We start from the raw sequence: 22,892 nt of genomic DNA on the forward strand, positions 1-22,892 counted from the left end.
ATACAAGCTATGCCTTCTCTGTACCTCAGTTTCTACATTTACGCAGTAGGTATAACAATATTTACCTTGCAAAATTTTCCTAAGGGTTAGTAATAGATAACATTTACTAAGTGCTAAATATGTGCAAGGTAATATTTTAGGTACTTACAATGTTTCTTTAATCCTCACAACAATCAAAGTATGCCTTCTACACACAATAGAAATAAACATATATCTTCTTTATTGTATTATCCTCTTTTACAGAAGATTTATTTTATTATTCTCTTTTACAGAACAAACTATAACTGAGAGAGATTAGGTAACTTATCCAAAGTCACATAGCTGGAACCAGAACTTGAAATCTAGGACTCTCTGATTCTAAAGTCTATACTCTTTCCATTAAGGCCAGAGGTCTTGATAACATGTAAAGAGTTGAGACATGGACAATGTTTTGATGCACAACTACTGGCTTACTGGATATGACACAAACTTGGGTCAAGTACAAAAAGATGATGTTTCATTCATATATAGTTCTCTTTTGTCAGTAATCCTTTATTAAGTCCCTGGTTTAGACTGTGATTTTCACTGAAGTACGCTGAATAACTCAGGACTGAATAATTAATCATATGCCACTTACTAACTGTTCACAGCCCAGCCCTATAACTCCTTGAGGCATTGGTCACATAAAACAAATGGTAGACAGGTGGCTAGGCTCCATTATCTCTTCACTGTTCCTCAAGCACATGTAGACCAGGGGTTTTGAATCTCAGTATTATTGACATTTCCAGCTGGAGAATTCTTTGGTGTGTGGGTAGGTGGGAAAGAGGGGTGTCCTGTGCATCCCCTGCCTCTATCCACCAGATGCCTATAAGACTGCCAAATGTCCCCTGGGGGGCAAAATCACTTCCAATTGAGAACCACTGACATAGGTCTAATTAGAACAGGAAAATTCTGGCTAAAATCCTCAGGTTTTTAAGTCCTTACTTTTTTTTTTTTTGAGACGGAGTCTCGCTCTGTCACCCAGGCTGGAGTGCAGTGGCGCGATCTCGGCTCACTGCAAGCTCCGCCTCCCGGGTTCAGGCCGTTCTCCTGCCTCAGCCTCCTGAGTAGCTGGGACTCCAGGCGTCCGCCACCGCGCCTGGCTAATTTTGTGTATTTTTAGTGGAGATGGGGTTTCACCGTGTTAGCCAGGATGGTCTCAATCTCCTGACCTCGTGATCTGCCCGCCTTGGCCTCCCAAAGTGCTGGGATTACAGGTGTGAGCCACGGCACCCGGCAGTCCTTACTTTTAAGTAAGGACTATAACAAAGATTTTCAATGAAAAAAAAAAGGAAAAAAAGCATTAAAAAGACTCAATCATTCTCTCTTGTCGGCAGTGAAAATATCCTCCCTCATATTCTGAGAAACTTCTCTAGATGATTTCAGCCCCTAATTACCTCTGCCTGTGTGCCATTTGTCCTTGTTGTCCTTACTATTCAAGTGGCCCTTCAGAGAACATGCTAGTATTAATACTCATCTCGAGTCAAAATGCCATCCTCAACTATACTATAAACTCCTTGCAGACATGGACAATCGCTAATGGTTCTTCTACACCGCACAGCCTCCAGCATAGTGCTAAGTATACAGGAGAGATGCTGAAATATCCGCTGAATGTCTAATAGAACTGTCAGGCAGAGGCTGCAAGCATTAGCTATGTAAATAAGTTTTTATTTTACATTTTTATATACGACTCAAATATTAAGAATTTCCATGACCACACCCCCCAACACGCCTAACAGACCTCCTAGATATTTTCTGTGTTCATATTTCAGTTTTTATTTCCTTAATGTAGCAATTATTTGGCATCATCTTAAGAAGTTTTTTCCATATTTAAAGTTTTCTTTACATCCCCTTCCCTGCACAAAATGTTTTTCCTGTATTATAAACATGTTCTTTTCCATCTGAGTAATAAGCATGACCAAACTTACTAAAACTAAGATACTTCAATTTGCATAGAGAAGTTGTACCTATTTTTGAATGATATTCTTAAATCAAACCACACTGTTTGAATAAAAAATTCTTTTAAGAAAGAAATGATTTCACTAGCATCAGAGAAATAAACTTACACTTTGATATTACAATCCACTTCTTGGCAAACTGAAATAAAATGTTTTTTGAAATCACAAAATAATTACGAGAATCAATTTATTCTTTTTCACTAAACTGCTTGAAAAGGGCAAACTTTGAAATCCATTATTAAAAATAGTACTTATTAAAGAAACAGGCCTAAGCACCGTACCTGGTTCTACCACCTGGCTTTAGATTCAGGAAAGTGAATCTGCTCTCCCTTGACACCTGGGACACCTGCTCACATATCAAGAATGGTTTCTACTAATATTTGAACATATAATGAACATGACCAGAAAATAATAATACTATTTTTTCTCTTTTTCTTGATTATAAATAATATATTCATTGTAGAAAATTTGGAAAAAAGAGAAAAGTATAAAGAAGAAAATTAGGCCAGGCACGGTGGCTCACACCTGTAATCCCAGCACTTTGGGAGGCCGAGGCAGGAGGATCACGAGGCCAAGAGCTCGAAACCAGCGTGGCCAACGTGGTAAAACCCCGTCTCTACTAAAAATACAAAAATTAGCTGGGCGTGGTGGCGTGTGCCTGTAGTCCCAGCTACTGGGGAGGCTGACGCAGGAGAACTGCTTGAACCCGGGAGGTGGAGGTTGCAGTGAGCCAAGATCATGCCACTGTACTCCAGCCTGGGTGACAGAGCAAGACTCACTCTTGAAAAAAAAAAAAAAAAAAAAAAAAAACAAGAAGAAAATTAAATCACCAAAGATACGAATCAATACTCTGGTATTTTGTCTTCCTAGTTGTTGTTTTTTTTTTTCCCTATGCACACATACACACAAATTCTTAATAAACTGAACTAAACATCAGAGTGAGTGCTATCCTCTCCAATGTTGTAAAGGAAAGCTTTATTCTAATTCCAATAATAGTTCCATTGTAAAGTCCTATCTCCAGAACCTTAAGCACACTCTTGAAAATCCTAAAAGGAATGTTCAGAATCAAATCAAAAATCGTTCAGAACCAGTACAAGACTTTACCATGAAAAAAAAAAATAAAGATGACTTAAGTGGTTCATACCCAGGTCTAAAAATAATTCCAAAGAAAGTACTAAAAAAGTTTTTTCAAGATGGCAAGATGGCAGAAGAGCAGTGCCTCCAGGGTAACTAATTTGAAGAGATTTCCCATGATTCATTTGCTTACAGTTAATTTTAAGGGTGAACTTTTAAAACAAAGTCTCATCATTTTTCTCATACTCTTATTCCTTATTTTTTTCCTCTTCCCCTTTTTCTCTTACAAGACAATCTCCTCCATCAAATTATGCCTTCTATACACACATACACCCACACACACAGATAGAGATCAACACATATTTATTTAATTTTTGACCACAACATTCACATTTAGACAACTGTCAGAGTATCCATTTTTTTGGCTCTACAATATTAGGTCCTGGGTTAAAAAGAGAAGCAAGTAAGTCTGACTCAAGGAACTCAATTTCATAGAAAGTAATGTTAATATAATTCTACATTATCCTAGAGTTCTACCCATCCTAGAGGTTAGGAAACTGGGGTCCAGAAACATGAAGCCATTTTCCAAGAGAACACGGGTAAAGACAGACCTGATTAGAACTGTCTTCATTAACGATTCTCCTCTAACAAATTTGATATTGTTTTATTTTCTGTAACATTAGAGTCAAATTTGTATTTAATCATCATTTAGTTTAGAAAAACAATTTTATTTAAGGCATTAGCCATCTGCTTTCTCAGGAGAGCAGCCCAAGTATCACAGATAGACCTTGTGTTTAGGTACACATTTCTTTTTTTATTTTTTTGAAATGGAGTCTCGCTCTATCACCAGGCTGGAGTGCAGTGCTGTGATCTTGGCTCACTGCAACCTCCGCCTCCCGGGTTCAAGCAATTCTCTTGCCTCAGCCTCCTGAGTAGCTGGGACTACAGGTGCCCACCACCACGCCCAGCTAATTTTTGTATTTTTAGTAGAGATGGGGTTTCACCATGTTGGCCAGGCTGGTCTCGAACTCCTGACCTCGTGATCCACCCGCCTTGGCCTCCCAACATGCTGGAATCACAGGTGTGAGCCACCACACCCAGCAGGTACACATTTCTTAGCCACTGCTCTGTACAGCAGGTGCAAATGATTCCTTGAATTGGAATCTGAGATTTCTGCCATGGAATCCTGTTACAAGTAACAAGGGGGATACATGTTAATAAATGATCAATTCTTTACATTTATAATGGGAAAACAGAAAACTACAACAGAAAGAATTATTGTTTCTACTATTAAGATTCCACTAATCCTCCTCCATCTGCATTACTGGGGATTGAACTATAATAGATAGATTGAAAATAAACTCTCAGGGCTTTTGAAATCCAGTCTCTACAATTATTGCTTACCACTGGGGGATCAAAGTCACAACTCTGTAACATTTGTTTAATCTAATCCCTCTTTCACTAATTAAAAACAGTAAAAGATCACAGCATTTCTCTTCCTTGCTCTCTCCTCCACGGTGGTAATTGTTAAAAGACCCACTGAATACTCAAGAGTTACCAGCATGGACTGAACTCCACACAGCACTTGTTAGTGCTCAGGTGATAAAGCTGGGGCAGGGCCTTAGTGGTAACATTAAACTGACACTTTAAACAAGGTCACTGTACATAATACTACCTTCTCATGTGAAACAGTGACAACCTAGCCTGAAACAAACAAACAAACAAACAAACAAAAAACAACTCATCAGGCTTCTACTTACCATCTTCTTTTCCTTGCCCTTAAAACCAACTCTTACTTACCCAGTGCCTCTCAATTTAAGGCACAGTCCTGAGTATGATGCCTAGATCATCTAGGCTTGCAATTAGGTTATTTGATGTACCAGACAAATTGAAAGAGAAGACAATCTCACTGGAGACCAAAGAGGAGGTGTGGCAGGAGCAATCAACTTTCAAAATTTGTCACATTTGGCAAAAAGCATTGACCCAGTTTCTCCTTTCATGATGACAATAAAGGGACATTATCAAATTATAAATGACACATCCAAATGGATGATTTCCACAGCCACAAACCAGACTCTGATAGGACTGTGGGTAACTCAACTAAGCAGCTGAGGTTTTATCTACATCCCTTTCCTTGAGCTACAGCCAAACTTTGAGGTTAAGGAAATTTAAGAAAAGACGGTATAGACAAGGAAAATTTCTATGACTGGAGATATCTAAAAAGCGCCACCCAAATGTAAAGGCAGTCCTAACCACTTCATTTCCTGGCCCATGAGAAGTCGTACCTTTAATGCATAGCGGAAACTGTGACTTCCCTAGAAGTTTGACCATCACAATGAATCCAATGGTATCTGGGAATTTCCTCTAGGGTAGAGCTTAGCACATGCAACCAGATCCTTCAGCTCAGTGTTTCTCAACCATTTTCAGTACAGCCGCCCCACCAGGAACCTTTTAAGACATTTTCCCCCTAATTTTGACACACCATCCCACTGAAATATTAATACTACAGATACACTGTATATGTGTTTATGTATTGCACATTTATTTGTGCCTTATAGATAAAAAGAGTAAAGATTTTTTGCCCCTCAAGAATTAATGTTCACCCCTTTGGAGCAATAATGTCCCTGTTTCTTCTGCATGCTTTGCACCATTCACAATAGCAAAGATGGGGAATCAACCCAGGTGCCTATCAACGGTGGATTAGACAAAGAAAACATGGTACATGTACACCATGGAATACTACACAGCCATAAAAAAGAACAAAATCATGTCCTTTACAGCAGCATGGGTGCAGCTGGAGGCCATTATCCTAAGTGAATTAAGGCAGGAACAGAAAACCAAACACGATATGTTCTCACAAGTGGGAGCTAAACACTGAGTGCACATGGACAAAAAGATTGGAACAGTAGACACTGAGACTTCAAAGTGGGAGGGAGGGGGGCAAGGATTGAAAAACGATCTATGGGGCAATGGAATAATTAGACTTCCTGTACATGTACCCCCAATTCTAAAATAAAAATAAAAATTTTTTTAAATGCACACTTTGGCTTAATGAAACAAGACACTGGTGGAGCCAAGGATATAAAACTAAGTTCTAAGTTAATATAGAAGTTATATCTATCAGGAAAATTTAAAAATCTCTTTCTAGAATAATAATTTGCCTATACTATAGTTATAGTACTGTAATTTAACCTGTTTGCCTTAAATCTGATATTAAGTAACAAAAAGACATTAACAGCACCTACTATTCTTACAAATAAGAATTAAAATTCAAACCGAAGAGAATAATAACCTGTTGTGACTCCAAGGAAAATAATTAAAAATAAATATAAATTATCTTTCATTTATAAGGAATGCACGAGTTTTAAATTAACTATCTATCCTTAGCTGTACTTTGTTAAGTGCAAAGACCGTGGGATAAAGCATCTCCATCATTCCAGATGATCTAAATTATTTAAAAAGATCTATTTAAAAGAAATAAGCCAGAAAGCCCAAAATCTCAGCTATCATCATCATTTCCACACAGTCTCATTAAAATCTTACTCACGTCAGAGAGCACCTAGGCTAAGGGAGTTCTGTAGCCAATGAACTCATCTGGCTTGGCCAGTGATTTCCCATGCAACTTAGGTAAATTAACACTCTGTGCTCATTTCTCCAACTGCCCAGTAATATAAACCAACACACTGTCATGGAAAAACATATAACAGTCTTAATCAGGAGACCTATCATGTGGTCTCACGTTGGCTACAAACTCACTGTGTGAATATGAGCATGTTACTCTTCCTCTTTGGGTCCTGTTTTTCCCCACCTGTAAAAGGAAGAAGCCAAACCAGATGCATGCATGGAGATTCTATGTTCTAAATGCTTTCATCAGGCTAATCACATACACTATCATGCCAAACAAAATAATGCTCCTTATTAAGTTTCATAAAACACAAGAACATGTAATCTGGGTGAACCTAACTAGTAGAGGACCTAGTAAAAATATTATATAGATAAATACTGGGAAGAAAAACATGATTGCTTTTCAAAATAACAGACTCAAAAGTTTAGGCCAAGTACTTCTCAACTTGAATTAGGTACAACTGTCATTAATGAGAATTCACTGTAGGCTTTTTGAATCATATCTACTTTTTGCCTAGATCATCTCTTAATATAAAGTACTCCATAGATTACTGCCTGCTCTGTTCAGTAAGGCCTTCATTTTATTTGTAAATGGTAAAACCATTTTAAGATTTAGGGAATGTCTCTGAGTTATAGCAATCTGGAATTTGGGAAATCAGGTCCATATCTGCCTTATACATACCCTGTAATACAGATTCCAGCTAAATCTCTTCTCAGCTCTGGTTTGTCCACACTTATTTATTATATTAGACAATTCCCATTCTTCCCATCCCCTTGGTCATTTCAGTCTCCCTGAGGTAAACCTTTCCCAATTCTGTTGGAACTTTCTTCACCTCCTAGGGAGACTAGGAAAAAGAGTCATCAAAATGAAAGCTAGTAACAAGGTAGAAGCAAGGGAAAATACATCATTGACAGATAAAATTTTCACCACTGTTCTCAGCATTATGACACAAAGTAAAATACATATCCTTTCCTTGTTTAAGTGCTTAAGCTACCAGCATAAAAATATATTCTATCTGCTAAGAATGAACAAAACAGTTCTTGGATTTCTCTATGCAATTAATTGCTTCTAGGACTGCTTCACAAGGTGCTGTTATTTAAAGCATTCCGCCAAAAAGGGTGGATGATCCTGGCAAGGATGCTATAGAAGCCATTCCTGTACTGGATGAATAGACTAGCTCAAAAGTTCCTAACAGTTTCTACCCAGTGCAGTTGAGGGCACATCTACCAACCACTTAGCAATAGCACTTAATAGTTAAGTGATTCTCAATGGGAGCCAGGCAATCAACGTCTTCAGAGGGCTTGTATAGCATGTGATATGTATTTCCATACCCCCCTGGGTCTCAGTTGAGAATCACTAGATTAAATCATTCCTAAAATCTCTGAATATAGGAGCCTACTGATATTCTCACACAAACTATTTGAAGGCAAGTGTCTTAATTTTTAGCAAGTTCAATATATAGACAACCATTCCAGCAATCTGAGTCTCAGTTTATTGAATTCCTCCATTTTATGGATGTTGTCCTCTACATTGCTGCAGCCATGTACTCCCAGGGTCATACCCAGACCTTATTATTACCAATAACCACAACCCCTCCATCATCTCAACTTCATGCATCACCTATTTTTCCAAGTCCCTCTCAGTTCCTATAGTACCTTAACCCAATTATCCTTCAACTGCACCAGGACTCAAAACTACCATCTTTTTACTGACCCACTCCAATTGACTTCCACTCTCCTCTTTTTAGCTTAAATTCCATGGTCAATCATTATAATTAATCTCTTATATATACTACTGAATCCCTTGCCTCTCTCTTGCTGTGATACATTTGCTTAGCAAAAGCAGAACTGATTACTACATGCATGCACGCGCACGCGCGCGCGCGCACACACACACACACACACACACACACACACACACACACACCCTCCACCCATGCTGCCTGACTTTAGTTTTATAATACCAAATTTCAAGTTGGGTCCCTTAATGCTGCCTGGCAAATCATACTTCACATCTCTAGGTTCATTTACTCTTTCTCTCTCCCCTAAATGACTGTTTCACATTTTCTCCTCTCTCCTCAAATCCTAACGCTACCTCCTCCCTTCTGCCCTCTCAACTGACATCCTGGCCTCCTACTTCACTGAGAAAATTTATGCAATCAGAAGAAACTTCCACAGATTCTCATGACACATCTCCCCACTGAGCCACATTTGCATCCACAAACCCCCTTTCCCATGTCTTTCTAGGTTTATTTTCCTCCTCCTGTGCAAAGCCAGTCCCTCCACTTGTACACTGGAGCCCATCCCTTCTACCTACTCAAGGAAGTCACTCTGGCAAGTTTCCCTTCTCTCTCCTACTTCATCCATTTTTCACCCTCTATTGGAACTTTTCCAACAGCTTATGAACGCGCTGCTCTTGTTCTCATCTCAAACAATAAAAATCTCCACCACATTTTTCTCTCCAGCTCTCACCTATTTCTTTGCTCCCCTTTCCTGCAAAATTTTCAAGAGTGTTTTATAATCACTATCTTCAATTTTTCTCTTTCAACCTATTTCACTGAAACTGCTCTTCAAGGTCACTAATGCTAAATCCAAGGGTCAACTCTCTGTTCTCATCCTACTTGACCTATGAGCAGCATTGGCATAGCTGACCACTCCTTCCACCTTGAAACACTCTTCACTTTTGCTTCCCGAATAAGACTCCACTATCTTGGTTTTCCTACCTCATTGACCTTTCTTCCTCAGTCTCCTTTACTGGTTCCTTCTCTTCTCTCTGTCTCTTGATGTTGCAATGTCCCTGGGCTGAGTCCTTGGTCTTCTTTAAGTACTGCATTCACTCCCTTGGTGATCTCATCAAGGCTCAAGGTTTTAAATGCCTTTCTCCCCAAACTCCAAAATCTCTCCAACTGGCTACCTGCTATCTCCACTTGGAAGACTAACAGCCACTTGGAGGTCTCAGTAGCCATGTCAAACTCAACATGTCCAAAAATGAACTACTGATAGGTGACCCTGTTAGCTTCATCTTGTAGCTGCCTCATTTCAGTTGATGGCAACTAATCTTTCAAGTGTTCAGGCCCAAATCCTGTTGTCTTCCTTGACTGATCTCTTTTTCTCATATCTCATATCTAAACTATCAGGAAACCATGCTGGCTCTACCTCACAATATACCTAGAATTCGACCTTTTCTTACCCCTTTCATTGCCCCAGCCCCAATCTGAGCCATCACTCTCTTTCATTTGGAATATTGTAATAGGCCCCTAAGAGATCTTGGTTGCTCTTCACCCTCATCATCTACTCTCCACAGAGCAGCCAGAGTGATCTTTTTAGACTTTGTCAGATCATGTCACTTTCCCATTCAACAACCTGCAACAGTCCCCTAGTTTACTCTGAGTAAATGTCAAAGTTATTATGATGGCCTTCAAAGCCCCAAATAATCTAGCCCTTCGTTACCTCTCTGACCTCTCCTGCTCAGCCAGCAAGCGTCCTGATATCCTTCAAATGCACCAGGCGTGCTCTCACCTTAGGGCCTTTGCTATAGCTGTTCCCTGTCCCTGGTATGTTCTTCTCCCAGATATCCACATGGTGAAACACCTCATCTCCTTGCTCAAATCTCAAGAAGACCTACCTTGAACCACCTTATTTAACATTGCAATCTACAAAGCAATCTCAATGTCCCTAACTCTGCTTTATTATTTTCCCAAATCACTTATCATCTCCTAATACACTATATAACATACTAATTGCTTGTATTGTTTATTGACTATAGTCTCCCACCAGAATGAAAGCTCCTAAGGACAGACATTTTTGTTTAATTTGTTCACTGATATATCCCAAACACACAGACCAATACTTTGCACAGAGCAAGTACTTAAGAAATATTTTTTGTATGAATGAATCAACACTTGAAACCGGAGCCTAAATTATGGACTAGAGAGATCTGAGGCCAGCAGAAGAAAACTCAAATGGCCCAGATACACTCAGCACCTAAATTATGCTCCCAGATAATCAGGTACTTATAAAAGCTGTATTATTTCTTTCAGATCTTAAGAAGGACTGTCACAGCACTGCTGACCTTTGCGAGATACTAGACCATACTAGAAACAAGTACAGAGGAGTTATGAGAAGGAACGTCCACTATTTTCACCTTTCCCTATAGATGACTCCATATTAAACATAGTCCTTCCTGTCTTCTTTCTCTGACTTGAAAAGTCACTTTTCTTTTTCTTTTCTTTTTTTTTTTTTTTTGAGCAGTCTCACTCTGTTGCCCAGGCTGGAGTGCAGTGGCGCGATCTCAGCTCACTGCAGCCTCTGCCTTCTGAATTAAAGTGATTCTTGTGCCTCAGCCTCCCAAGTAGCTGGGATTACAGTCATGCACCACCACGCCTAGCTAACTTTTGTATTTTTTGTAGAGATGAGGTTTCACCATGTTGGCCAGACTGGTCTCAAACTCCTGGCCTCTACTGATCTGCCCAACTTGGCCTCCGAAAGTGCTGGGATTACAGGCATGAGCCACCGCACCTGGCCAAAAGTCACTTTTCAATACTACATAATTTAGGAATTAGAGAAAGCAAGGTCAGGCAAGGGGCTAATGTGGCTTTCAAAATGCTGAATTTATTCCCATGGATTAAACACAGACTCTTACAAGTTAGAACTAGAAGACTATCATTTATGTCAGTGGTTGTCAACCATGGCTGTATATTTGAATCCCGGAGGCACTTAAAAAATACTGTAGCTGACACTCCCTTGGGTGAGGCTCAGGTAGCATAGGTTTTAAAAGCTTCCCAGGTGACTAAAGTTCCCAGGTGATTCCAATGTGCAAACACGTTTGAGAACTGATGAGCTATATGACCTTGGGCAAATTACTTGGCTCCACTGAGCCTAACTCATATGGCTTTTGTGAGGATTAAATAAGATTTTGCACGTATACTATCAGCTGCTATTAGTATCACTGCCACTTCTCCCTTTTCTATCATCACCACCACCTTTTCTACTATTACCATTATTATCATCATTGGTGGTATCATTTCCTTCTTTTCTTTCTTTTTATTGAGATTTAATTTACATATCATAAAATCCAGCCTTTTAAAAATGTATGATTCAGTGGTTTTTAGTATATTCACAAAGTTGTGCAACCATCATCACCATTTAATTCCAGAACATTTTCACCACCCCAGAAAGAAATACCATACCCATGAGCAACCTCTCCTCCCATACCCTGGGAACCACTAATCTACTTTCTATCTTTATGAATTTAACTATTCTGGATATTTCATATGAATGAAATCCTATAATATGTAGCCTCTCGTGTCGGGCTTTTTTCACTTAGCATAATGTTTTTGAAGTTGATCCACATTGTAGCATATATTCATGCTTCATTTTTATGATTGAATAACAGTCCATTGTATGGATATACCACATTTTGTTTTCAGCAGTTTTTCTCACTTTTTGGCATTTATGAATAATACTGCTATGAACACTTATACACACTATTTTGTGTGCCCATGTTTCCAGTTCTCTTCGGTATATAGCTAGGAGTGGAACTGCTGGGTCATATGGTAATTCTATGTTTAACTTTTTGAGCAACTACTAAACTCTCTAAAGTGGCTGCAGCACCATTTTATATTCCCACCATCAGTGCACAAGGTTTCTAATTTCTCCATATCCTCACCAACATTTGTTATTATCTTTCTGACCCTAGCCATCCTAGTAAGTGTGAAGTGGTATTTCATTGTTGTGATTTGCATTTTCCTGGTGACTAATGATGACAAGCATCTTTTCTTTTTTTTTTTAATACGAATTGGGGTCTCACTCTGTTGCCCAGGCTGGAGTACAGTGGCACAATCTTAGATCATCACAGCACTGAACTCTAGGCTCAAGTGATCCTTCCTGCTTCAGCCTCCCCAATAGCTGGGACTACAGGTCCGGTTGATTTTTAGAATTTTTTTGTAGAGACAGAGTTCTCACTATGTTGCCCAGGTTGGTTTTGAATGCCTGACCTCAAACAATCCTCCTGCCTCAACCTCCCAAAGTGCTGGGATTTCGGGCGTGAGACACCATGCCTGGCCAACGTTAAGCATCTATTCATGTTCTTACTGGCCATTTGTGTATTTTCTTGCCTATCCAAATTCTTTACCATTTTTATACTGGATTAGTTGTCTTTTTATTATTAAGTTGTAAGAGTTCTTTATATATTCTAGATATATTCTGCTGATCCTCATAAGATACATGTTTTACAAATATTTTCCCTCATTTTGAGGGTTATCTTTTATCCTTCACTTTCCTGACAGTGTCCTTTGAAGTATGAACATTTTTAATTTTGATGAAGTCCAATTTATCTATTTTTTTCCTTTGGTTGCTTGTGTATTACTAACTTTTAAGAAGACACTAAAGGAAAAAAGTTATGAAGATATCCTATAACCAAGTAAGTTGTTCAGACTTATAATAATCACATATTAAATCATGAATTCCCATATAGATAACACATCCAATTTATCTGGGTGGAGGGCAGGAAGGAATGCAATTCATCTCTTACGTTTTTAATTACCTAGATTTTCAGATTAAATATTTGACCTTTGAATATCAATGTCCAAGAAACTGCAAAGAAATAAAACCTGAGTTAGATTTGTGTGTTTTCAGGGCCATTTGTTGCAACAGCTAGATGTTCATAATCCTTACAAGAGCTGGAATTGTTTTTTCAAATTGAGCATATTTAAATATTTTTAAAAGAGTTTCAAACAAATATTTTTCTGCAACTGTACAAAATTAGTGGCATGACATAACGTAAATGTTCTATTACTGCTCAATAAATACTAACTAGACAATACATAATCCCAAATAATCAACTGGCATTATATAATTTCCCAATATAATAATCCCAAAGAATCAATTGTGATTACAGTAATTTTTCGAACCAAAACAACAACAAAAATTGGTCATTATTAATGTCTTGAAAAAGGTAACCAATACCTCTATTTTTTTTTTTACTTTGTCAACCAACTTTTTAATTAAAAAAACTTTTTGGTTTAAAAATTTTTATTAGTGGCAACAGTTGTACAACAATGTGAATGCACTTACTGCCACTGAAATGCATATTTTAAATGGTAAATCTTATGTATATTTAACCACATCTTATGTATATTTAACCACAATTTTAAAAAGAGAAAAGGGGAGAAAATAAAAAAGAAAAAAGAGTAGGAAAAACACAGACCCCTAAAACAAATAAACCAGTCTGAGCACCTGCTGGCAGACAACACTTGGACATTCAAGAAAAGCAGGCTGAGGAAGGCACAGTTCACTGGGCACACAGACGGATCACCAGCAAAGCAGGCTCTAAAAACAGCATAGGAGGTAGGTTACCCTGGAAGAGTAGTATGACCCACCATATATCCATAGAAAGCTTTGTCTCTAAAATAAGATGCAGGGCTCTAAAAGGATATCCTTCACACTTCCTAAGACCTGGGTTGCATCAAAATGTCATTCATTGTATCTTCATACCACATACACCAGGATCCTCTTAAACATGAAATTAAGCTAATTAATGGCAGTATTTTGTTTTTTGGTTAACAGCAAACTAATGCACCAGTACTGTCAAGAAAAAAAAAGAAAGCGAGGAAACCTCAGGGCAAAGAACCATGAAAAAATCCACAATGTACCTCCTTGCTTTGCAGTTCTTTTAAGAATATTGTTTAGTGTCTAAAACAAGTAAAATGGCATTTTTTCAGGAAACACATTTGACCACACTTCCAAAGTAATAAAGCATGTTTAGTCCAGCTTCTCAATTTACAACCATAAGTGTATATTACAAGGCAATAGTTCTTTAATATATGAACTTGGGACACAGATTTTTCAAAAAGTGAATAAAGCCAAAGAAAATTTTGTGAAAATAGTTCTCATAAATATAACAAGCACCATTGAATATAATTTTATTCTAAATTGATCCAGTTTATGTTCCAAATCTTATTTTTATAGCCTTCCTATGGTAAATGCTCAACAAGGATTTGCTAAATAGATGAATGAGAAGGACCAAGCCTTAATTTGAATTTGTTCTGGTAACAGAGAGATAACCACATAAATGAAAATCTCCTTATTGTGGCTATGATTAAAAAGTCAGAAAATAACGGATGTTGGTGAGGTTGCAGAGGAAAGGGAAGTACTTATACACTGCTGGTGGGACTGTAAATTAGTTCAGCCACTGTGGAAAGCAGTTTGGAGACTTCTCAAAGAACTTAAAATAGAATTACTATTCAACCCAGCAATCCCATTACTCAGTATACACCCAAAGGAATGTAAATCATTCCACCAAAAAGACACATGAATGTGTATGTTCATCACAGCACTATTCACAATAGCAAAGACACAGAATCAACCTACATGCCCATCAACAGTGGACTGGATTAAAAAAATGTGGTACACATACACCACGGAATACTACATAGGCATAAAAACGAACAAAGTCATCTCCTTTGCAGCAACATGGACACAGCTGGAGGCCATAATCCTAAGTGAATTAAAAGCAGCAACAACAAAAAACAAATTAACACATGCTCCCACTTATAAGTGGGAGCTAAACACTGAATACACATGGAGATAAAAAGAGGCCCAACAGACACTGGGGCCTTACTTGAGGGGAGACAGTAGGAGGAGGGTGAGGGTTGAAAAACTACCTATCAGGTACTATGCTCACTACCTGTGAGCTGGGTGACAAAATCATTTGCACACCAAACCCCAGCAACACACAATTTACCCATGTAACAAACCTGCACGTGTGCTCCTTGAACCTAAAATAAAGGTTGGAGGGCCAGGCGGGGTGGCTCACGCCTGTAATCCCAGCACTTTGGGAGGCCAAGGTGGGCAGATCACGAGGTCAAGAGTTCAAGACCAGCCTGGCCAACATGGTGAAACCCCCGTCTCTACTAAAAATACAAAAATTAGCTGGGAGTGGTGGTGCGCGCCTGTAATCCTGGCTACTCAGGAGGCTGAGGCAGGAGAATTGCTTGAACCCGGGAGGCAGAGGTTGCAGTGAGCCAAGATCGTGCCACTGCACTCCAGCCTGGGCAACAGAGCGAGAGTCCGTCTTAAAAAAAAAAAAAAAAGAGTTGGAGAAGGAAAAAAAAAACCCAAAAAAACTCCTTGTTCTTTCTAGATCTATCTAGATTGCTACATCAATAAAATAGAATCTAGCACCCTTGCAATTCAATTTAACAGACACAATAAGATTCCTCCTAGAAAGAAAAAAGGAGGAAGGAGGATGGAGAGAGGGGAAGAAAAGGAGAGGAAGGAGTACCTTATTATGCCAGAAGGAGCTTCTCTAATGACGACAAGGGTTAGATCAGACCTCAGGAAAGCTAAAGGGTGCCAATCTCACTTAACACTCAAGGGTCTACCAAAAATTGAAGTGAAATATTCTATTTTTATAAAACCGGTCTTCTACTTGACCTTTATCACGGAAGATGGGGTAAGCTCACTGTAAAACATGATTTTTCATTTTGTGTGGTTTTGTTTGTTTGTTTGAAATGGAGTCTTGCTCTGTCGCCAGACTGGAGTGCAGTGGCGCGATCTCGGCTCACTGCAACCTCTGACTCCCTGGTTCAAGTGATTCTCCTGCCTCAGCCTCCTGAGTAGCTGGGATTACAGGCACGTGCCATCACACCCAGCTAATTTTTGTATTTTTTTTTTTTAGCAGAGACGGGGTAGCACAATGTTGGCCAGGATGGTCTTGATCTCCTGACCTTGTGATCTGCCCACCTCAGGCTCCCAAAGTGCTGGGATTACAGGTGTGAGCCACCTCACCTGGCTGTAAAATATGATTTTTCTCATTCCCTTCTGTAGTGTCTCACTCAGCATACTTGTTGAGGCAGCCAAGAGATGTAAGACAGAAAAACCCTATACAGGAAGCAATTCCTAAAAGACTGTGTTAATGGACTGAATTGTATCCCCCACCAAATTCGTATGCTGAAGTCCTAACCTCCAGTATCTTAGAATGTGACCCTATTTGGAGACAGGTTGACTGCAGATATATTAAGATGAGGTCATACTGCAGTAGGTAGATCCCTACTTCAATGTGACTGTTGTGCTTATAAAAAGGGGAAAATGTGGACACAGACAGGCACCCAGGGAAAACTTCATGTGAAGGATGGAGTTATGCTGCCACAAGCTAAGGAACTACCAGAAGCTAGAAGAGAGGCCTGAAACAGATCCTTCCCCGGCACCTTCAGAGGGACCATGGCCCTGCCAACACCCTGATTTTGGACTTCTGGCTTTCAGAACTATGAGACAATGCATTCATGCTGTTCTATGTCATATGGTTTGTGGTACTTTGTTACCATAGCCCTAGGGAACCAATACAGACAGTAAGAGGCCAGTGTGCACTACCCTCTTCAGATTGCACTCCAGATCCAGCCTTTTGTCTCATGGCCACTGCCACTACATTACCCCGGGCCCCAGCACCTCACTCTTGAACTGCTGCAAAAGCTCTGGTCTCCCTTAACTTCAGACTCTATGTTGACTTTCTTCAATTGCCAAACCTCCCTGCACACCACCTTCTTTGCATCAACCCCTTATTTAAAAATCTCCAGTGACTCACCAATTTTTACAGGAAAAAGCCAAAACTCTCCTGACTGGCATTCAGGCCTCTCTCTAAGCTAGCTCCAAATGCTAGGTGATATTCTCTTAGTGACCCTAGAATACACAACTTTTTTTTTTGAGACAGGGTCTTTCTCTGTTGCCCAGGCTGGTGTGCAGTGGCATGACCACAGCTCACTGCAGCCTTGACTTCTTGGGCTCAAGCAATTCTCCCTCCTCAGTTTCCCAAGTAGCAGGGACCACAGGCACATACCACCATGCCCAGCTAATTTTTATGGAGATGGGCTCTTACCATGTTGTCCAGGCTGGTCAGAACATAGAACTGTTATTCTCTATGTCATGCTTCCTTCTCCACTTGCCGTTCTCCCCTTTCATTAGTCCAAATCTTGAGCTTCCTGTGAAAACTACTGTCAGGACACACTTTCTCCTTGAAGCTCTCTCTCTATACTTAAGCCTAACACAACAGCCATGTTTCTGATTTTATGCACTTTACTGCCTGCATCAGTCATCTGTACTCATCACAGATTGCCTTGCATAGTTCCCTGGCATTTGAAAAGTACAGGCTTGAATTTCACAGCTGGACTAGGAGCTCCTTAATAATAGGGTCTACGTCTTATAATTTTGGAGGTACTTCTCAAAGCCAAAGACAATGCTGGGTGTATTACAAGCAACCTCTAAATTCTTACTGAATTAACTATTAAACGTATATGAAAAATTCCTAGAAATGCTACTTTTGGCGCTTCCTTCAATCAGCGAACTGAAATTGGAACAAATCTACAGATTTCATATAGCACTAATGGTTCCACATATATCTCAATAATTTAAAACTTACAAGGAACAAGAGGAAAAAAATGACTTGAGTCCCAAGTTACTTACCATTCTTCATCACTACATTGGACCACACATTGGCATTCAGGGCTTGGACAATTCGCTTTACTCCTGTAGATTCTGGGAAGTCATCTAATCAGGGAGGGGAAATATATATATTTATATGCAACACTCACACAGATATACATATACATTCACAAAAATGTGGCCAGGCACGGTGGCTCATGCCTGTAATCCCAGCACTTTGGGAGGCCAAGGAGGGCAGATTACCTGAGGTCGGGAGTTCAAGACCAGCCTGACCAACATAGAGAAACCCCATCTCTACTAAAAAATACAAAATTAGCCAGGCGTGGTGGCGCATGCATGTAATTCCAGCTACTCGGGAGGCTGAGGCAGGAGAACTGCTTGAACCCAGGAGGTAGAGGTTGTGGTGAGCCGAGATGGCACCATTCCAGCCTGGGCAACAGGAGCAAAACTCCATCTCAAAAAAAAAAAAAAAAAGTTACGTATATATCCTCCAAGCCATATTTTCAAATGACTGTGGTTTTGTTATCTTGTTTATTTAGTTGTTAGTTCACATCATACAAGGAAAAAAATCAAATACAGAGCTTGGAGCTCTCAATAAGAATATTCTAGAGAAACTCTTTTCTTCCTCGGCTGTCTGAGGATTGACCACCATCATGAATGACATGGTAACTATCCAAACTGGAAAGTTCATGACCAACCAACTACTTCAGTGAAAACAAATGGTCATTGATGTCCTTCACCCCGGGAAGGCAACACTACCTAAGAGAGAAATTCGGGAAAAAGTAGCCAAAATGTACAAGACCACACCAGATGTCATCTTTGAGTTCAGAACTCATTTTGGTGGTGGCAAGACTACTGGCTTTGGCATAATTTACGATTCCTTGGATTATGCAAACAAAAATGAACACAAACATAGACTTACAAGACATGGCCTGTGTGAGAAGAAAAAGACCTTGAGAAAGCAATGAAAGGAATGTAAGAACGGCATGAAGAAGGTAGGCAGACAGCAAAGGCCAGTGTTAGTGCTGGCAAAAAGCCAAAGGAGCAAAGGTGCTGCAAGGATGTTATCAGTGGCCACTGTGGCTTTTTCATGAGAAGATTAATAAACTAAAAACTTTCATGCGGAAAAAAAAGAATATTCTAGAAACTAAAGCAATTAAACACACAATATAAGGCAGTTATATAATAAAGTTATCCTCACCAATGGAATCTATTTATATTCTGAAAATGTTAGATTCCACTTATTACACACATTCCTGGCACAGTACTAGAGATACCAATCTACACAGAATGAGTTTCCTGAAGGCAGGAACAGTCCTCTTATTAACAGTATGTTATAAAATCATGTAAATGCTCTATCCTGTGCTGGAAACCATAGAATAATAAGTGTTATTTTTGATCGATACCTATAGAAGAACTTCTTGATCAGAGAAAGATAGTTTGAGTGAGAAGTGAAATGACTAGAAGTGTAAGAGACAGGCAAAGGGTCATTACGACAACTTAGTTTAGTTTATTATTAGTACTATCCTGCTTCTGGAATTTGACTGATACTACTCAAAATAATGGGATTGTAATCCCATAGTGTACCAAAAAAGGTGGTATTCTTAACTACAACACAGGAATGATCGTGTACAAAGGAAATGGGGATCCTGCAGATGTTGAGGATTGTAAGGCTGCGTCTGGAAAATAATGACAGAAATAGTTTTCATGTGGTTAAAAAAGGAAAGTTTCCCGAGTTTACAGAACATAATCCACACAGACCCTGTCTCTAGTGGCCAGCCTAGCCCTGGGTGGTTTAACAAGAAGAGCACAGAGTTACATGTCAGAATATCTGAATTTGAACCCAGGCTCTGCCACTTACTAGCTATTTGATCAAGGGCAAATCACTTACACCATTCTCACAGAAAGTGGAAACAATACCACTCTATGCACATCTCTCCTAGAGGAAAGATGCACTGCAATTGATGATTTACTAATGTAACCTTCCCCCTACACTGAAAACTCCTTGACGGCAGGAATCTTGTCTTACTGAGTTCATATGCCCATTGCCTACCACAGTGCCTGAAAAACAGCAGGCACTCAGCAACTGTTTAATGGATCAATGAATCATTTAAAGAATACCAACCTGCCAACCTAACAGAAATATAGTGATTAAATTGAAAATACTCTGCTGGGCGCGGTGGCTCATGCCTGTAATCCCAGCACTTTGGGAGGCCGAGGCAGGTGGATCACGAGGTCAGGAGATTGAGACCATCCTGGCTAACATGGTGAAACACCGTCTCTACTAAAAATACAAAAAAAAAAAAAAAAATTACCCAGGCGTGGTGGCGGGCGCCTGCAGTCCCAGCTACTTGGGAGGCTGAGGCAGGAGAATGGCGTGAATCTAGGAGGTGGAGCTTGCAGTGAGCAGAGATCGTGCCACTGCACTCCAGCCTGGGCAACAGAGAGAGACTCTGTCTCAAATAAATAAATAAATAAATAAAAATAAAGAAAGAAAATACTCTACCAAGATAAGTTTATCACCACCAATGTCTGGATGAAGACCTAAAAGTCATGTTTATCTTAATTGTGAATGACTTAATTCTCAAAAGAATAACTAATACTTTAGATGATATAACCAGGAACCAAAAATGTGGTCTGAAATGAAGAGCTAGTACCAGTAAGAGGAAAATTAATACAAACTAGCATAAAGTCCTATATTCATGTTTGAATAATACATGCAAGTAAAAGATGAGGAAATATGGCTTAGGAATAATTTGTATTTTAAAAGTCTAGGAAGGTTTTCATTACCTTACCTAAAGATGACATATCAAAAAACCCATTTTAAGATTAAGCTGAATGAATACAAGAACATTATTCAGACAAAGGGCTACGAGAAATAAAGTAGTATAAAGGAGCAGAGATTCCAAAATGATAACAGTCAAATACTGACTCCCAAGGACAAGAGAAAGAGAAAATTCTAGTGCCAGAAATCACACAGGCTCACATACACAAAACAGGGCACAAGTTTCAGGGACCTAGAAAAACACAGAAAAAGATGTACATGCTAATTTTCAACACTCTTTAAAATGAGCAAGGAGAAAAACCAGAGTTTTTATTTCAGTTTTGTTCTCTTCTTCTCCAGCAGGTTTTATTCTCAAAGGTAACAGCATTTTGGAAAAATTATAAATAAAACCAGAATATAGAAAAATATTTCTTAATTCCTTGAAGAAAAATACAAGTTTCTTGAAATGACTGCTTATGTCTTATCTATGTACTTTAATTCACGTTGGTTGCCCCTGCCCAGAATGTCTTTTGGAACAACTGGCATATTCACAATGCCACCTCTCCAGCAGTCCTCTCACTACAAGCCCAGGACCTTTTCTAACTTCTTCCCCATGGAGCAGCTGACATGTGAGAGGTCACAATGCCAACACGTTCTCTGCACTTTTAAACAAAAATAAGCTCTCCGGTCTCTAAAATACCACAGCACTACTATTTCTTCTATAATACTTATGACATTCCACTTGGTAATTCAATTATCTGTAAGTTTCATCTCTTGTACCAGATTATAAGGTTTTGGTGAACCAAAAACCCTCTTATCCTGGTAGATACCAAAACAGGTGTACTTCAAAGGAGAAAAGATGAGAAAAGAAATGGGGAAGGGGAGTAGAAGAGGGGAAGAAATAGAAGGTCCAGCAATAGCGGAGGACAGCGATTGCAGAGCTACCTGGGGTGGAGGTGGGGGATTAAATTTGGGGTCTATCTTTTGGCTTCAAATGTCCAAAAGACATTCAAATGGATTTGAAATGTCCCCTGCGATTCTTGGGAATTCAGCCTTAGGTTACTATGAATTCAAAATAAGAAACATCAACTTTAACTACTACGAAGGTCTAACTCTCCTTCTTCAGCAGTAGGGAAAGGAAAAAGGATTATGGAAATGACAAAGATTTTAGAAAGCAGCCCTATACCTTTATCCATAAGAAAAACACACATTTTCAAAAGTTCTAAAACAGGTGGTAAAACCAAAAAAATGAATTATTACACTAAGTGTAAGATTATAAGATTACATCAATGGATTTTGCTTAAATCCTTGAAACAGCTGGGGAAAAAAGTTTCTTGAATTTTGCTGTGATTCTTCTTCCCTGAATTAAAATAATCTCTCATATCTAAGTGCCATATTTTCTCCTAACACATAAACACTTACCATCCTCCTCAGGCAACTCCTCTGGACTAAGTTCTACCAATTCAAAGCCATGTTTGATGCACCATTCTTGAGCTTTTTGTCGGTTTATACCTAAAATAATATGCAAAAGAATCTTCATAAGTAAAAAGAAAATAAAACATGACTATTCCTGCAATATTCTTCACAAATCTCAATGTGTTTCCCTTAATGTCAATGTTATTCTAAAGGCATCTAAAATAATAAAAAGAAAATGACTTCTCAGCCCCGAAGTATCCATTCTTAAAAAAAAAGTAAGTATTACAAGATTCCAAAGAAAAATAGCTGAAAATATTTTCATAAAGCCATAAAGTCACATGGGATGTATGTCCTAAGTTAAAGAAACAGATGTACTCTGTTTATCAAGGAATGGCAAATGCATGTACCAACTACTGTCCCATCCACAGGCCTTACCATCTTCAGACACTCTATCGCAGACCAAGATCATCACCTCAGGTAACCATGCTTTTGCCAGTGGAAGCCATGAGGAGACACTATCAAGGCCCGATTTCTAGAGGGAACAAAAAATATAAACAAACAAAAACAGAAAAGAGATAGTCAGACAAAATGTAATGGGAAAA

The 22,892-nt window shown here is 39.1% G+C and overlaps 1 protein-coding gene and 1 pseudogene across 6 annotated transcripts in view; one reads left to right on the forward strand and one right to left on the reverse strand.

Annotated features, from left to right (window-relative positions):
• The window catches only part of AAGAB (alpha and gamma adaptin binding protein), a 54,532-nt gene that overhangs the window by 13,016 nt on the left and 18,624 nt on the right, over positions 1-22,892 (reverse strand). For 3 of the 6 annotated variants that reach the window (NM_001271885.2, NM_024666.5, NM_001271886.2), the window contains exons 3-5: positions 22,726-22,822; positions 22,297-22,386; positions 18,132-18,215 (exon numbers count right to left, since the gene is read on the reverse strand). In NM_001271885.2, the coding sequence (NP_001258814.1) occupies positions 18,132-18,215; positions 22,297-22,386; positions 22,726-22,759 (208 nt within the window). In that variant the 5' untranslated portion in view covers positions 22,760-22,822. Of the gene's footprint in view, positions 1-13,218; positions 13,269-17,547; positions 17,651-18,131; positions 18,216-22,296; positions 22,387-22,725; positions 22,823-22,892 lie in introns of all 6 variants that reach the window. The other 3 variants (XR_007064489.1, XM_024450053.2, XM_024450052.2) reach the window with 3 other exon arrangements.
• RPS24P16 (ribosomal protein S24 pseudogene 16) lies at positions 18,725-19,227 on the forward strand (annotated as a pseudogene).

This window comes from Homo sapiens, chromosome 15, assembly GCF_000001405.40.
Source record: "Homo sapiens chromosome 15, GRCh38.p14 Primary Assembly".
NCBI lineage: Eukaryota > Metazoa > Chordata > Mammalia > Primates > Hominidae > Homo > Homo sapiens.